This window comes from Homo sapiens, chromosome 6 (assembly GCF_000001405.40).
Source record: "Homo sapiens chromosome 6, GRCh38.p14 Primary Assembly".
Classification (NCBI taxonomy): Eukaryota; Metazoa; Chordata; class Mammalia; order Primates; family Hominidae; genus Homo; species Homo sapiens.
The window spans coordinates 18658691-18675920 of record NC_000006.12 but is presented as its reverse complement, the minus strand read 5'-3'; the positions used below and the strand labels follow the sequence as shown (position 1 = coordinate 18675920).

General features: G+C 37.6%; 1 long non-coding RNA gene across 1 annotated transcript in view; it reads right to left on the bottom strand.

The window, feature by feature from the left end:
- The window catches only part of MIR548A1HG (MIR548A1 host gene), a 200152-nt gene that overhangs the window by 46978 nt on the left and 135944 nt on the right, over positions 1-17230 (bottom strand). The window contains exons 5-6 of the long non-coding RNA NR_149116.1: positions 9904-9979; positions 1978-2051 (exon numbers count right to left, since the gene is read on the bottom strand). This is a non-coding gene — a long non-coding RNA (MIR548A1 host gene). The remainder of the gene's footprint in view (positions 1-1977; positions 2052-9903; positions 9980-17230) is intronic.

Here is a 17230-nt window from a genome sequence, read left to right as displayed (position 1 = left end):
AACCTGTCTTAACTGTTTTTCTGATGGGCAAAGTTCTCTTACGGGATAGAACAAAATCAGTGACTTTAAAAAAGGGTTAAATTGCCAGCTTTTCTCCAACTTCTGATGTGTTTATGAATATAAATCACTTGATGAGACCATATGCCAATGATGCCATGAGTGTGGAAATGCCTAAATGTTTGTTACTTGGGTCTTTTTAGACAGGAAGACTTAAATATCCACTTTTATCACGGTGTCTTTAATAACTCTTTAACTTTCAGCACAGTGTCCATCTAAAATATGGTATTTGCTTTTAATAACCTTCCATAGTTGTCTGGTTTATAGACAGAATGGTTTATATACGAGTTCATAGATAGAACGGCTCTCAAACTGCATGGTAAAAACACTTAAATCCACCTTAAGATAAGTTCATTCTAAACTCTGCAGTGAAGAAAAAAGCCTTCATAGAAAAACTACTTAATAGGTACCATGTACTTGGCACTTTAGTAACAAAACTTTCAAAATTAGTTATTTTTAAAATCTGTATACAGCTTGACCTCCCAAACACTGAAAATTCCTTCAGGACTAATAATATGTCTTATCTTTTTGGTTGCCCCATCAGATACAACACAGTATCATCAGTAAGGCAGGCTCAACTTTTGTGGACTAATTAGCTTCAGACATTAAAACCTGAGATGTTCCCATTTTGGAATTATATGTGTTAGTCATTAGATATCTCAGCTGGGGTAGGGCAGGAGGAGGATAGCTAACAAAATTATTCTCACAAACAAAATCTTGGCAAATTAATTACTCACACACATGGATTTTGCCTGGATCTATTGACCAAAATCTTGATGAATACAATGATGTCTGATGTATTATTATATGGAGGAAACTAGATTTTATCACAGACTGTAAGATTCTTGAGGTCCTCAAATACAAAGGGCCATATTTAGAAATAAATTTGCAATCTGTGAATATAATTCACAATCAAGTCTCTTAAAGTCACAAAATAGCAATGACTACATCTCTGATTACTAATTGAATCAGGCACTACCAGCACTCCAGTGAAGAGCAACCAGACAGAAGAAGCCCCTAGGCCATGCTTGTCTGCATTTTACACCATAAGACACATGTCCAGACAGTCTGGTTCTTAAAGATGCTGTTTCTCTTTGTGGAATGATTTATAAAAAAAAGAGGGAAAATGATGTGCTAGGCATTATACCACTCTTTTCAACTGTAGTAATACATCCAGTTTAACAAGAAAACATGTGTTACTAATGACCTCCTTTGTGTCTTACCTGGCTAGGGAGAGATCTAAAGCCAGTTTTCAGTTGAGCTCCTGTATTATATTACCCCTTCTTTTCTGAGCTAAGCTTAAAAGAATGTACAGCAATGATGAAAGTACATTGTTAAGAGGTTAAAAAGAAGGCAAAGATTATTTTTCCCCATGCAATATATAAGGAATCTTATGGGTCTCAGAGAGGAAAACATATACACAATCTGTTCAAACCACCCAATTTCTCATTCAAGTCCCCACTTGCCCATTGCTTACTAGTTCTTCATTTTTTCACAATCCCTTGACTTTGCTACCTTCATCCTGTTGTTCTCTTTTGGGTCCCATAGACTCAATATATATCCACACCAAGACTCAAGTTCTCACATACATTTAGCATAATCATTTCACATAACATATGAATATTGCTCAAAGTAGCATGTAGGGGAAAAACATGCAAACCTTTTTCCCCTTGATTAAAAGCAATAAGTGTGAATGAAATGAAATAAAATCTTGCCCAGTTTAGATGTCGTCAACTGTAATTGCTATTTTTTTCTATTCCAACTATTTTATCTAAGAATAGATAGCTTCCTATAAGTTAAAAAGTAGAAAAGAATGAGCTTTAAGGTGGCTGGAAAGGACTCAAGATGAGTTTTAATTCTGCCTCTGTACCCAGATGTGGTATGAAGTGGTAAATTAGTGTTAGCTGGAGTCTCACCTACCCACACACGTGTATGTGCCAGATGGTTCCATGGCAGTCAGGAGGTTTGAAGCGAAGCAATCTCTTCATCTGCAGCTGGAATACACAGGATTGCCCAGTTAAATAAGATGCTCATTCATTTAAATCCACCCCCAAATAAATGGATTAGATCTCATAAAACATGAGGTTTCTCTTTCTTTAGGTTCCTAAAAAAATTTAAACCTGGTGAACATTTTCACCACATCCCAGCCAAATCACTTTCAGTACCAAATTTAGTTTTATATGCCTCGGAGATATGCATATGATAATTCCTCTATACACCCCAATATTTGTATAGCTTCTTAGGTTAGATTTGAAAGTAACATCAAGTGGTTGCCCCATATTATCTCATTTACAGCAGAGCAGCCAGTTTATCACAGTCTATGTGAAGGTTTTCAAAATTTCCAATCTACAATCAAATGCTCTAGCAGCTTCTCAGTGGTTAAGCAATCCCCCTCCAATTTTATCTGAATTTGACTTATTCTAAAAATGTACTGGGTTTTATCGTGTGCACATAATAATCACACCATATTTATGTAATGTTTTAAATTTATTATTGAATGATGTAGCCACTGAAAACTGAATCATTCAATAAGAAATTTAAATTTCAGCGACTGAAAACTCCTCATTATTGCTGCAAGCCCATTTATTTCACCTGAGATTCCTGAAAATACAAAACAAGGCAACAACTTAATTCATGCATGAATCTGCCCGATTAATTTTCCCATTTGTATAAGATATGGGGTATCTTGCAACTTAGGTAAACAAACAAGATTGTCACTCTAAAAACAGAGTATAAAAATGGAGTGTGGATGATGGAGAGCTTCCAAGTCTTCTGGTCCCACCAATATGTTATTCATTTAACAGTATGCAAATGAGTTAACAAGGATACATGCAGAGTTCCCAGGGTAAATAATTTCCATTTCTGTCACTGCCTAGAAACCATCCTTAGGTATCTCCTAAATATTCATGCCTAGGGAAATAGGCAATAAAGTGAATTAAGGAAATCATATCTCACCCAAGATTTCCTTCTAAAGAAGAAAGCATGAGGAGAAAGAGAAAACATGGTGAGAAGAAAGAGAGAAGACAAGAAAAAGAGTTTTTTCATAATTTGTTTTCTATCTTTTTTTGAAGCCTTCTATCTGGCTTTTATGGAATTAAGCTTGGCCCATGGTAAATTTTTGCACATCATAATATTAATGCTCATTGAAAGCATGAAGCTTCAAGGAGTTTTGGAAGGCAAACTCCTGAGAAGAAGAGCTCCATACAATTAAGCATGCTACCTAGCCAAACCCTTCTGAAAAAAAAAATCACAATTTAAATTATCAGCATGTTTATGCCCCACTGTGCATATCAAGGAGAAGCTCACTAAAATATCCCATTAAAATATACAATTTGTGACATAACATACACTGAGATATACTAACTACAAGTCAAGCAATACTTTGGCCAAAATATAGATGCCAAATTCTCAGATTGTTCCTGTGTAGATTGCACAAATTCATTATAGTTTAGACAACCAAAATAAAAGGACTTTTCTCCTCATCCTTTGTTATGCACCGAACTGTGTCCTCATCTCCCAATTTATATTTTGAAGTCCTAACCCCCAATGTGACTGTGTTTGGAGATAGGGCCTTTAGGAGGAAATTGAGGTTAAATAAGGTCATAAGGAAGGGGCCCCAATTCAATAGGATTATTGTTCTTGTTAGAAGAGAAAGAGATATCAGATAGATCCACCCCTCTCCCTCTCTCTCTCTGTCCCCCTGAGTGTGCACAGAGAAGAAAAAAGGGAGAAGGCAATTATCTACAAGCCAGAAAGAGATGCCTCATGAAAAACCAACCCTGACAGCACCTTGATCTTGAACTTCTAGCCTCCCAGTCTGTGACATTTTGTTATGGCAGCCCAAGCAGACTGATACATCCTTGTTATATTAGACTTAAATTTTGTAAAAGGACTAATATAAGTTTTTTAAATAGAAGCCATCAGCCTTCATAAGATTTATGAAAGAAAAGTAAGAAACTAGCCGCTGGAATATGCTAAACTCTGGCCTCAGCATTGGGGATACAGTCATGAATAAGGATGCAGTCACAAACAAAACAGAAAATGACCAGCTGTCATAGAGATTACATTCTAGTGGGAAACGTAAATAAAAACTGTGCAAACAGATAAATTAATAAAGTAATTTTGGTTAGCAGTAGTGTCATGAGAATAATAAAGTAAGGCAACGTGATAGAGAGTGATGAAGACTGGAGCCAGGTGATGGAAGTTCTCTCTAGAAAGCTAGCATCTGAGCTAAGGCATGAATGAAGAAATGAAACCTGCCATAGCAATGAGGAAAAGATCACTCTGGGCAGAGGAAAAATCAAGGGCAAGGACTCTGAGGCAGGCACAAGCTTTCTGAAGATCAAAGAGTGCATGAGTATCACTGGAGAGCAGTATGCAAGAGAGGGAGTTACCAGCAAGGGACTAGGGAGGTAGAAGGGGTCACGCCATGTAAGGACAAAGGAAAGAATTAAGAACTCATCATCAAATACAAAGCATTGGAAGTTACTGGATGGTTACAAAAAGCGGAGAGACGACACGATAGGATTTATATTTTTAAACAGCACTTTGGCTACTAGAAGATAAATGATAAGGAAGGTAACCGTCTATGCCAGGAGACCAGCTAGGTGACAACTGTAATAGATGAGGTGAAAGTGATGATGGCATGGCCCTAAGGTGGGTAGGTATGGCAGTTGATTGGTGTAGCAGATCCGGGTTATATATTTTGGAGGTAGAGTCAACAAGCATTCTGACAGCTGTGTAAGCAGAGCAAAAAAAAAAAAAAAAAAAAGGAATAAAGAATTACTTTTTATGTTCTAGGTTTAAGAGACAAAGCAGATAGTAATTGACTTACATGTCTTAGTTGTGTATCTCCACAACATAATGCTTGGCTCAGAGAGGGCATTTGGTTGATATTTCTGAAAGGAATGGAGGAGAGAAGAGAAGAGAAGAGAAGAGAAGAGAAGAGAAGAGAAGAGAAGAGAAGAGAAGAGAAGAGAAGAGAGAAGGGGAGGGGAGGGGAGAGAAAAGTGGGATAGGGTATGAGAGGAGAGGGATAGAGGGAGGAAGACAGGGAGAGAGGAAGAGAAGGAGGGAGGAAGGAAGGGAGGAAGGGAGGAAAGAAGGAAGGAAGGAAGGAAGGAAAAAAGGAAGACTCTCACTATACATCACTGCCTTGTACAAATACCCAACTATTTAAATAGAGAAATACTCAAGTCTTTCAATATACATTCCACATACATTCCCTATAATTCAATATAGTAATTATTGTGCCTAATAACTCTTAAGCATTGCAAAATTCCAGGAAGGTTTTATAAACTAAAGAAGGTTTAAATTATTTTTAACATACATTTAGAATGAAGTATATATTATTTTCTTCTACACAAAATTATACCATTCATGCTACATGGCCCTTTCCAGAGCCAAGTTTGTTTAACTCAAATATCCATTCCCTGGCCATGTTTTAGAATAGCTAGTTTACTATAATATTAAATTTAGACACATCAGTTTGAAGACCAAGTCTTAAATAGGTCACTTTAGAACTCAGGTAATACCCAAGGTTTCACCTTAAAATGAACTTTTTTTCAGCCTATAATTTATAATTATAGTCATTATCTTCCTTACTAGAAATAACTGGAATAGCCATTAACTCAAAGTTTTGGGTTTTAAAATCATGCATAAAAATATAACTGTGAAAATTTGCAGGAGTTCCCATGAAGAAAAAATACTGCCTCTATGGAGAAGTCTAGATTAACATCAGGACTAAAATATGATCTATTCCTATGGCTACATTTTAAATGGTAAAATAAAGTATGGCTTCATATTGCAAGTAATAAAGATCAAACAGCATATAAGGTGAATCTAGAAAGTCAGAAAAGTCCATCTTGATGATTCAACTCAACAGGCAAAACAGTGTCTCCAAAATAGAGGGTCCAAAAACTGGGGCCTGAGAGAGCTACGCAAGGAACAGCAGTTTGAATACCCTTGGAGAGTAGCATAGTCATCACAGCTTGATTCACATGAAATGCAACTGTGCCAAAGAATGCCAGTCAGGGATCCATAAAAACTTACCCAATATAGAAGCCCATGGAAGTTTGCCTCATCTGGTATTAGCAATTTAATGTCTTGGTTCCTAGATGGGAAATTTGTATCTTTTTAATTTGGCCAATTCCTAAGACGGCACTTAAATGTGAGTACCTAGTTGTTCAGTGTGATTACGGAAGGGTAAAATCAGGAAGTGAGCTGTACAGATAAATGATGCCAGTGTCCTAGCTCCTCCTAGTACCTGGACACGGTGCATCTGCTGTTCCATCTCATGCTATCTCTACTGACCACAGAGCAATCCAGCCTGGAGTAGAAGATCTACGTGCACATCCCTTAGGGAATCTCTGGGGGAAAAAAATGTTTTCTTTTCCTTTGTCACCATTTTCTTTATAAAATAATCTTTCAAACATTCAATGTTTTAAACATCCAGATAATCAGAAATGTTGAGCCAAAACCTGAGACACATCTTCCTTGATGTCTTGATGACTTCTAAGACCTCATCAGAAGCACCCCTCATTCACTCCATGTTTTGTCAACTGGAAAACCAGGATATGATAGGAGACTCAGTTCCCATGGCGAGCTCCAATGTGACATGGGGCAGATTCATGCTGAGCACCGATGTTCTTGTTCTTCCACACCCCTTTCACCTTGGACAGCTCTGAAAGAATGTTGGGTTTCTGCCCTCCTCTGAACAACCGAGGAAAGCTCTCTTTTCCAGAAGTCCTAACAAGAAAATGCAAGAGAAAGCCAGACCAGCAAGAACACCACACAGCCCCTCTATAAACACAGCCAGGCAAGAGAATGTTGGAAGCCTTCTCCATACACCAAAGAATAAAGGGGGGTGGGGATCAGTTCCTTGGCTATCCTTGTGCATATACTATCCTCACTTGCCTGTACTTTTTACCAGCATTGTCAAGGTCCTATATCACCCTGCTGGCAATTGACATATGACTGATTCTATCCAAGTTCACTCTCTGAAATTCTCTGGAGAGAAGAAAGCAAGTGGTTCACAGAATGCTGTCTAACATAATAGATACTTAGAACTACATTTTTTAAATGCAACAAAAGAAAGGTACTCTACAATTACTTTCTTTCATACCATGAAGATGAAGTTTATTTTAAATTGACTGAAATATGTTCATTTTAAGCACTTATTTTTCCAACTGGTATAAGCAGAAATATTGGTATAAGCAGAAAGTCTTTGGCAAATGACTTTGACAAATGTATATTTTGTGCATGGTCATTGATTAGAGGGTGAGGAGGAGTCTGTCAAGATAGGTGGAGATAGTTAGTCCTCCAGAGTACAGGACTGGACACAGCAAAAAATATCACAGCAAAGAGTCCCGAAGAATATGACTCTCTTTTGCAACATAGCAAGACTAACTCATCTCACACAATAACGTTGCCTGTCATGCTGGGGAGAGGAACATGATTTTTGCTTGCCCTCAGAAAAATAGATGAAAAATATAAGCCTTCTAAAACAAAGCAGTCTGGAAATATGGGGTCATTTATAAGAAATATTTAATATTCTTAATTCAGCAACAAAAGCAACATGGGTTGCGATTAGAGTTTTAGGCTGCAGAATGCAAAGAGGAAAGATAAATAGTAGAAGGGGAGATAAGAAAAGCAGTTTTAATAAACTGAGAAAGAGGGAGAGGGAATTGAGAAGGGGCAGCTTCTTCTCAACCTCACCTTCTATCACTTTCCAGAGAAACAGGAAGTCAATTATATACCACAGCATCACCTCATGCAGTTCCATTCCCTGGCTGACCTTCTTTGAACACACTTCCCTGCAGGATGTCTTGACAAGTTGCCCTGCACATCAGCAGAGAAAACTTTCACTACCTGTAGATCTAGAGAAGCTCATTAAAAACACACCGAGTGTGGCATGGGGCTGTAAATTACTTTAAAGCTCTCAGATTTTTCTTCTCTCTCAAATTATACAGATCAATTATTAAGCTTTGCCACAGAAAAGTGGATCATAATATCTGTTAATGTATCACAGTTTTATCAAGCTGCCACTCATGATCCACCATAAAGCAAGCAAGTTCTATGACCACGTTAAACTAAATCTTATCACAAAGAAAAGGAACAAAGACAGAGAGGGAGGCAGGGAGGGAGGGAAGAAGGAAACAGGGAGGGACAGAAAGAGGGAAAAAGGAAGGAAGGTAGGGAGGGAGGAAGGAAGGAAGGAAAAAATGAAGGAATCAAGAAAGTAAGAAAGGAAGGAGAAAAAACTATTTACAGGGTAAATAAAGAAAATTGTAACAGCAATTAATAAAGTAACATTTAATGTATTAATTAGCATCTCCTAGAGGGCTTGTATATGTGTTTTTATCAGAGAAAGGCTGCCTCGTATGACAAGAAAATACCCACATATCTTACATCAAAAGCATTTCTTTCCTGTTTCTCTTCCTCCCTTACTGTAGTGAACACAGGAGAGCACATGAAGGAAGGTAGAATAATTCATTACTTTGTCTCCCACTGCTTTGTATGTTCAACATTTTTTGAATAAATACAAAGTCATAAATTAGCTTGTAGCAAAACAGAATTAATTGAATGTCTTAAGTAGGATCATCAAACCAAGGTTTGAGTCCATTTATCTGCCTAAGACTTTGCTAATGTAGTTTCAGCTCATTAGGGCAAGAGTTGATTCTGGAGATGGGACATTTTTAGACATAGAAAGGGAAAAAATAAGATCAAAAAATTCTGACTTCCTCTGTTTTTGCAGAAGAATTCCTTGAAGGCTATCTAATGTGTACTATAGATCATAAAACTGCCCTCCAAACAATCTATTATTGAAAAACTGAAGATGTTTTCATAGAACCTGAAGATATTTACACATGTACTGACACTGAGAAGGCTATGCCCTTTATTCTTTCAAAGGCCCTTGCCAGAAAACATCTTAGAAACACTGCATGGAACTGCAATTGTGTGTATGTGTGTTGTGCATGCACTTGTGTGTCCATGGTGTATGGAACAGCAATGCACACAGATATATATTTTATATTATATATTTTATATTTTTATATATACTTTATATATAAAGTAAATATATTTTATATATTTACTTTATATATATAAAGTAAATATATTTTATATATTTACTTTATATATATAAAGTAAATATATTTTATATTTACTTTATATATATAGTAAATATATTTTATATATACTTATATATAATGATATCTATTTTTGTTTTTCCATATATATGTAGAAAAGTGAAACATATCATACATATGTGTTACACATAAATAAAAAGAGACATTATTTGGTTGTTTTCTTGGAATAAATTTTTCAAGCATCCAAGTGAAACAAAAATAATTGTATGCACCAAGAAAGAAACAGCAGCAAGGTTGTGGGGGAAGATTTCCCTACATTTCCAGTAATGGAATCAATAATAATCTGCATTCTTCCAGCAAAAAGGCTTCTGCACGGGAGAACCGATGACAGTCACTGAGTGTTCTTCCTGACCCTGGTCAAGCAACAGTAGCACAGGTGCCCAGTTCTGCTCTCTCCCCATTTGGTTAAATGGGCTCTTTCCTCATAGACAAGATAACAGGACCTTGGAACTTCTTATGCAACTTCTTGCAATAAGTAAAAATAAATTAAGGCAAAAACTACGTTTTAGACTAAGCCTTATATAATATTAGTTAGGCCCAAAGACACCACATCTATGAATGGATATTTCATTAAAATATTAAAGAATTCACATAAATGAATCAAGGCTCTACAAAACATCATCAAGGCTACAAAACTGGAATAAAATGAACAGAAGTAGATAAAAGTCTGGCTTAGAAGAAAAAAAAAGTCACTTACTAGATGTAAACATGGTCAGGCTATGCAACCTCTAATCTTCAATGTCCTCCTTCCTCTGTAAAATCCAGATAATTTGCTGCAAGGATTAAAATAGGTGATTTATTCAAAGCACTTAGCACAATACCTGGCACATAATATGTACTGCATACCTATCTGCTGCACTATTTTTATTATTCACTAGATAATTTCTCAATTGTAATTTCAGGTAACTTTTTATTACAGCCTATGGTGGTATAATGGAGTACAGGTTATATACTCCCAGTAACTTTGAACACACACACACATGCACACACGTATTCTTCATCATGTTTTTAAAAACTTGGCTGGTTTTGGCCAGGCGCAGTGGCTCACATCTGTAATCCCAGCACGTTGGGAGGCCGAGGTGGGCGAATCATGAGGTCAGGAGTTGGAGACCAGCCTGGCCAACATGGTGAAACAACGTCTCCACTAAAAATACAAAATATTAGCTGGGAGTAGTGGTCGGCGCCTGTAATCCCAGCTACTTGGGGGGCTGAGGCAGGAGAATCACTTGAACCCGGGAGGCAGAGGTTGTGGTGAACCAAGATCACACCATTGCACTCCAGCCTGAGCAACAAGAGCAAAACTCCATCTCAAAAAACAAAAACAAAAACAAAATTAGCCAGGTGTGGTGGTGCAAGCCTGTAATCCCAGCTACTCGGGAGGCTGAGGCAGGAGAATTGCTTGAAACCAGGAGGCGGAGGTTGCAGTGAGCCGAGATCGCGCCAGTGCACTCCGCCCCAGGCAACAGAGTGAGACCCCGTCTCAAAAAAAAAAAAAATACTTAGCTGGTTTTAAACATCAGGTTTAAAAAACTAAACTAGATATTTTGCATTTTTCTTCTGCTGGTGGTGAAAAACCAATGACTGAAGTAACTCCATACATCAGAGATCTGTGGCATGTCTAACATTATACCACATATACTGTGCGTAGCCTCAGATATTCATAAGGTTAGTGTGTTTAATTTTTGCATTGGCTTCAAAGAGAAACTACATACATGTTTAAATCCCTGTCTATCACCCATAAGTATGGAATATTATGTAAAACTATCCCTTCGTATTTTACTATAGTACCTCTTTAAAACTATGTTTTCATAATTTTCATATTTCCAGTGGAGTTGAAATTATAATTAATATGAATTTCTAAAGTTTACACTCTTGTACGGGAAAGAGTATTGCTATTTGCCAGAATGAGAGATGACCTTGCCTAAATGGGGGGAACAAAAGATTGTTTATTGGGGATGAATTTACATTTATGGCCAGTTAAATCTTTCTCTGGTGCCTCTGATTCTCCTCTCTGGTACTATGAGAAGGCAACTTTGGTTAGTCGCTCCCACTCACATCCGAGCAGAGCTGCAATAACAGCAAATGGTCCTTGGAAATCACAATCACATTAGGCTGCTGTTCAAATAGCTTTTAGGGTTGTGATAATAGGAGGCATTCCTAATAACTGGTGACTCTGTGAGACCCTGCCCAGAAGGCCTCCAAATGGCAGCACACAATTTAAATTTTAATCTGGAAGCGGTGGAAATGATGAGATTCCAGCTGGGGACCTTCTGGTCTGAGGGCCGGTGTTCAGCCTCCCGATTAGATGCCCCAAAGCTTCATTGAGTTGACGAGTGAGTGCCCCTTATCTCTCTACTCTTTTCTGCTGCATACCATCGCCCACCTGATTGCTTGGAACCTCAGAAGGTCATCTTTCTTTGCTTCCGTAGAGGCTGTCTTGGAGCTGATGGAACATTCCCAGTTTGCTGTGATCCAACTAAACACATTTGTGCTTGTGGTAGTGGAATGATACTTTTATCATTCTGACAAGTGGTAACTTTCTGAACTTTTTTCCTTCCATGCGCTGAGTGGGCTTTGGGACGTACTTACTCACTTAAAGCTTCAAATGAAAGCTGGCAGATGCATGCCATGGGCAGGAAGAAAACACTTTATTTTTTCCTACAATAAGCAATAACCCTTAGGATAATAACTCAACACAAGTTAAATAGCTAAAGGGAACATTAGTGGGACCCTGTCAGCATGGAAAGGAACAGCTGGCCATGTTAGTAATCATTGCATACCATTACTTGGGAAGTCCACTCCCAATTCTACCACCAACTTGTATTTCCTGAGTGTTTAGGCAGTAACACATGACAGATGAGGAAGTATCGAAACAGGACATCAGACACAGAACTCTAGATTTGAATGTTTGGCATTTCCAGATTCAGTTTCCAGTGAGCAGGGAGGAAAAAAAAATCTTATTAACTGGAACAAAGTTGGGAAGAATATCAAATATCTCTCTCATGTCTCTGACTCAATCATTTTTAATAGGAAACTTTTTTATTCCCAATGCATATCAGTGACTCCCAAGAATGGCGATTTGTCTCTCAAACTAGGAGTGTGAATCTAATGAAGGGATGCACATTAATACCTGGATGTTTGCAATACTCAGAGTGCAAACTCAGCTGCTTCCACTGGGCTCCATTAGGAAGCCTATTTCAGTACCCCAATACCCTCAGCAGCAGAATTAGAAAGTTGTTTTGATTTTTTTAAACCACACACAGGAGCAAATTTCTGCAAGGTGGAAATGGGAATAAAAACTAGTGTTTTGGAATTTTTTTCTTTGCAGATAGTCATCAAATGAGGTACAATATTTGCTAACAGAGGGTAATTTGAATTATCCACGGATAGTTCAAAAACACAAAGAGTTCATTACCCAGATATCTCTATTTAAAATAGATTTGCTTTTGTTCATCAGTGCAGTGCACATGGCTGGGAAATGGCAAAGTGCCAGAATGAAACTGCTCCTAATTTTCAGAGGAGGCCACCAGCTAATTACACAGACTGCAGGTGTGAAGAGAGAAGCTCAAAGTAATCAATAGCAGTAATTAATCTGCTAGACTGGAGCTAAAGAGCTAACAGCTGGACATCAGAAATGGACACATGCAACAAGATCAGCAATAATTACCTCTTTAAATATTGAATTTCCATAGCAACAATTAAGCATATAAATAAAGGCTGGAAACCAAGGCTTTGAGGCATGACATTGCATGGCAAACACAACATTCCCCAAATCAACCCTTTTAATAAAACACCAACAATATGCTTGGGCTGGGTTGACCGATTTCCAGGGTTGGAAAAAGCTGAATGTAGCTCCTCCTGCCTCTGCTTTCTTGGCTTCCAGTCATTGGCTATCCCATCCCCAAGGTACAAAGATGGCCCTAGAAGTTTGCTTTGGGCAAGATAACAATACCTTCCCTAGTACAGCTGAGCTACCAGCTGTAAGACACATTTCCTCTCAACTGGAAAACATGTTCCTTTTCTAAGAATCATGAAATCTATAAGCAAAATTCCTAATTAAGGTGCTGGAACCACTAATATTGAAAAAAGCAATTGGGCAGTATATTGAGAGTCTCTTCAAGACCAATATGACAAGCAAGAGACTCAGACATTGAGGCTTCTATAACATTTTTTGCTTTGTGAAAAGAATAAAGAAAACTTTTTATTGTATTTATTTTTTTTTTATTTTAAGTTCCAGGATCCATGTGCAGAACGTGCAGATTTGTTACATAGGTATACGTGTGCCGTGGTGGTTTGCTGCACCTATTGACTCATCCTCTAAGTTCCCTCCCCACTGCCCCCACCCCACAACACCCTCAGGCCCTGGTGTGTGATGTTCCCCTCCCTGTGTCCATGTGTTCTCATTGCTCAACTCCCACTTATGAGCGAGAACATGCAGTGTTTGGTTTTCTGTTCCTCTGTTAGTTTGCTGAGGATGATGGCTTCCAACTTCACCCATGTCCCTGCAAAGGACATGATCTCATTCCTTTTTATGTCTGTGTAGTATTCTATAGTGAATATGTACCACATTTTCTTTATCCAGTCTATCATTGATGGGCATTTGGGCATCCATGACTTTGCTATTATAAACAGTGCTGCAATAAACATACATGTGCATGTGTCTTTATAGTAGGATGATTTATATTCCTCTGAGTATATACCCAGTAATGGGATTGCTGGGTCAAATGGTATTTCTGATTCGAGATCCTTGAGGAATCCCCATACCGTCTTCCACAATGGTTGAACTAATTTACATTCCCACCAAAGTGTAAAAGCATTCCTATTTCTCCACAGCCTCACCAGCATCTATTGTTTCTTGACTTCTTAATAATCACCATGCTGACTGGCATGAGATGGTATCTCATTGTGGTTTTGATTTGAATTTCTCTAATGATCAATGATGTTGGGGATTTTTTAATGTTTGTTGTCTGCATAAATATCTTCTTTTGAGAAGTGTCTGTTCATATCCTTTGCCCACTTTTTGATGGAGTTGTTTTCTTCTTGTAAATTTAAGTTCCTTGCAAATTCTGGATATAAGACATTTGTCAAATGAGTACATTGCAAAAATGTTCTCCTGTTCTGTAGGTTGCCTGTTCACGCTGATGATAGTTTCTTTTGCTGTGAAGAAGCTCTTTATTTTAATTAGATTCCATTTGTCCATTTTGGCTTTTGTTGCAATTCCTTTTGGCATTTTCATCATGAAGTCTTTGCCCATGCCTATGTCCTGGTGGTATTGCCTAGGTTTTCTTCTAGGGTTTTTATGGTTTGGGGTTTTACATTTAAGTCTTTAATCCATCCTCAGTTAATTTTTGTATAAGGTGTAAGGAAGGGGTCTAGTTTCAGCTTTCTGCATATGGCTAGCCAGTTTTCCCAGAACCATTTATTGAATAGAAGATCCTTTCCTCATTGCTTGTTTTTGTAGGTTTGTTGAAGATCAGATGGTTGTAGATGTGTGGTGTTATTTCTGAGGTCTATGTTCTGTTCCATTCGTCTATATGTCTGTTTTGGTACCAGTATCATGCTGTTTTGGTTACTGTAGCCTTGTAGTATCGTTCGAGGTCAGATGCCTCCAGTTTTGTTATTTTTGCCTAGGATTGTCTAGGCTATACAAGGTCTTCTTTGATTCCATATGAAATTTAAAGTAGTTTTTTTCTAATTCTGTGAAAAATGTCAATGATAGTTTGATGGGAATAGCATTTAATCTATAAATTACTTAGGGCACTATGGCCATTTTCATGATATTGATTCTTCCTATCTGTGAGGATGAAATGTTTTTCCATTTGCTTGTGTCCTCTCTTATTTCCTTCAGCAGTGGTTTGTAGTTCTTTCACATCTCTTATTAGCTGTATTCTTAGACATTTTATTCTCTTTGTAGCGATTGTGAATGGGAGTTCATTCATGATTTGGCTCTCTGTTTGTCTATTGCTGGTGTAAAGGAATGCTTGTGATTTTTGCACATCGATTTTGTATCCTGAGACTTTGCTGAAGTTGCTTATCAGCTTAAGGAGTTTTGGGGCTGAGAAGATGGGGTTTTCTAAATATAAAATCATGTCACCTGCAAACAGAGACAATTTGACTTTCTCTCTTCCTATCTGAATACCCTTTATTTCTTTCTCTTGCCTGATAGACCTGGCCCAGAACTTCCAATACTATGTTGAATAGGAGTGGTAAGACAGAGCATTCTTGTCTTGTACCATTTTTCAAAGGGAATGCTTCCAGCTTTTGCCCATTCAATATGATATTGGCTGTGGGTTTGTCATAAATAGCTCTTATTATTTTGAGATATGTTCCATCAATACCTAGTTTATTGAGAGTTTTTAGCATGAAGGGATATTGAATTTTATCAAAGGCCTTTTCTGCATCTATTGAGATAGTCATGTGGCTTTTGTCTTTGGTTCTGTTTATGTGATGGATTACGTTTGTTGATTTGCATATGTTGAACCGGCCTTGCATCCCAGGGATGACGTCAACTTGATCATGATGGATAAGATTTTGATGTGCTGCTGGATTCTGTTTGCCAGTATTTTAGTGAGGATTTTCGCATCGATGTTCATCAGGGATATTGGCCTGAAGTTTTTTGTGGTTGTTGTGTCTCTGCCCCTTTTTTGTATCAGGATGATGTTGGCTTCATAAAATGAGTTATGGAGGAGTCCTTCATTTTCAATTGTTTGGAATAGTTTCAGAATGAATAATACCAGCTCCTCTTTGTACCTCTAGTGGAATTTGGCTGTGAATCCATCAGTCCCTGGGCTTTTTTTGGTTGGTAGGCTATTAATTACTGCCTCAATTTCAGAACTTGTTACTGGTCTATTCAGGGATTTGACTTCTTCCTGGTTTAGTCTTGGGAGGGTGTATGTGTCCAGGAATTTATCCATTTCTTCTAGATTTTCTAGTTTGTTATAGAGGTGTTTGTAACATTCTCCGATGGTAGTTTGTATTTCTTTCAGTCAGTGGTGATATCTCCTTTTTCATTTTTTATTGTGTCTATTTGATTCTTCTCTCTTTTCTTCTTTATTACTCTAGCTAATGGTCTATTTTGTTAAGTTTTTTCAACAAATCAGCTCCTGGTTTTTCATGTCTCTATCTCCTTCAATTCTGCTCTGATCTTTGTAATTTCTTGTCTTCTGCTACCTTTTGGATTAGTTTGCTCTTGCCTCTGTAGCTGTTTTAATTGTGATCTTAGGGTGTTGATTTGAGATCTTTCTAGCTTTCTGATGTGGGTATTTAGTGCTATAAATTTCCCTCTTAACACTGCTTTAGCTGTGTCCCAGAGATTCTGCTACATTGTGTCTTTGTTCTCATTGGTTTCAAAGAACTTGATTTCTGCCTTAATTTCATTATTTACCCAGGAGTCATTGAGGAGCAGGCTGTTCAATTTTTATGTAATTGTGTGGTTTCGAGTGAGTTTCTTAATCCTGAGTTCTGAGTTGATTGCACTGTGGTTTGAGAGACTGTTTGTTATTATTTCAGTTCTTTTACATTTGCTGAGGAGTGTTTTACTTCCAATTACATGGTCGATTTTAGAATAAGTGTCATGTGGCACTGAGAAAAATGTATATGCTGTTGATTTGGGGTGGAGAGTTCCGTAGATGTCTATTAGGCCCACTTGACCCAAAGCTGAGTTCAAGTCCTGAATATCCTTGTTAATTTTCTGTCTCACTGATCTGTCTAATATTGACAGTGGGGTGTTAAAATCTCCCACTATTATTGTGTGGGAGTCTAAGTCTCTTTGTGGGTCTCTAAGAACTTGTTTTATGAATCTGGGTACTCTTGTATTGGGTGCGTATATATTTACAATAGTTAGCTCTTCTTGTTTAATTGTTCCCTTTACTATTATGTAATGCCCTTCTTTGTCTTTTTTGATCTTTGTTGGTTGAAAGTCTGTTTTGCCAGAGACTAGGATTGCAACCCCTGCTTTTCTTTTTTTCTTGTTTTTTTGTTTTTTTTTTTTTTTTTTTTGCTTTCCATTCGCCTGGTAAATTTTC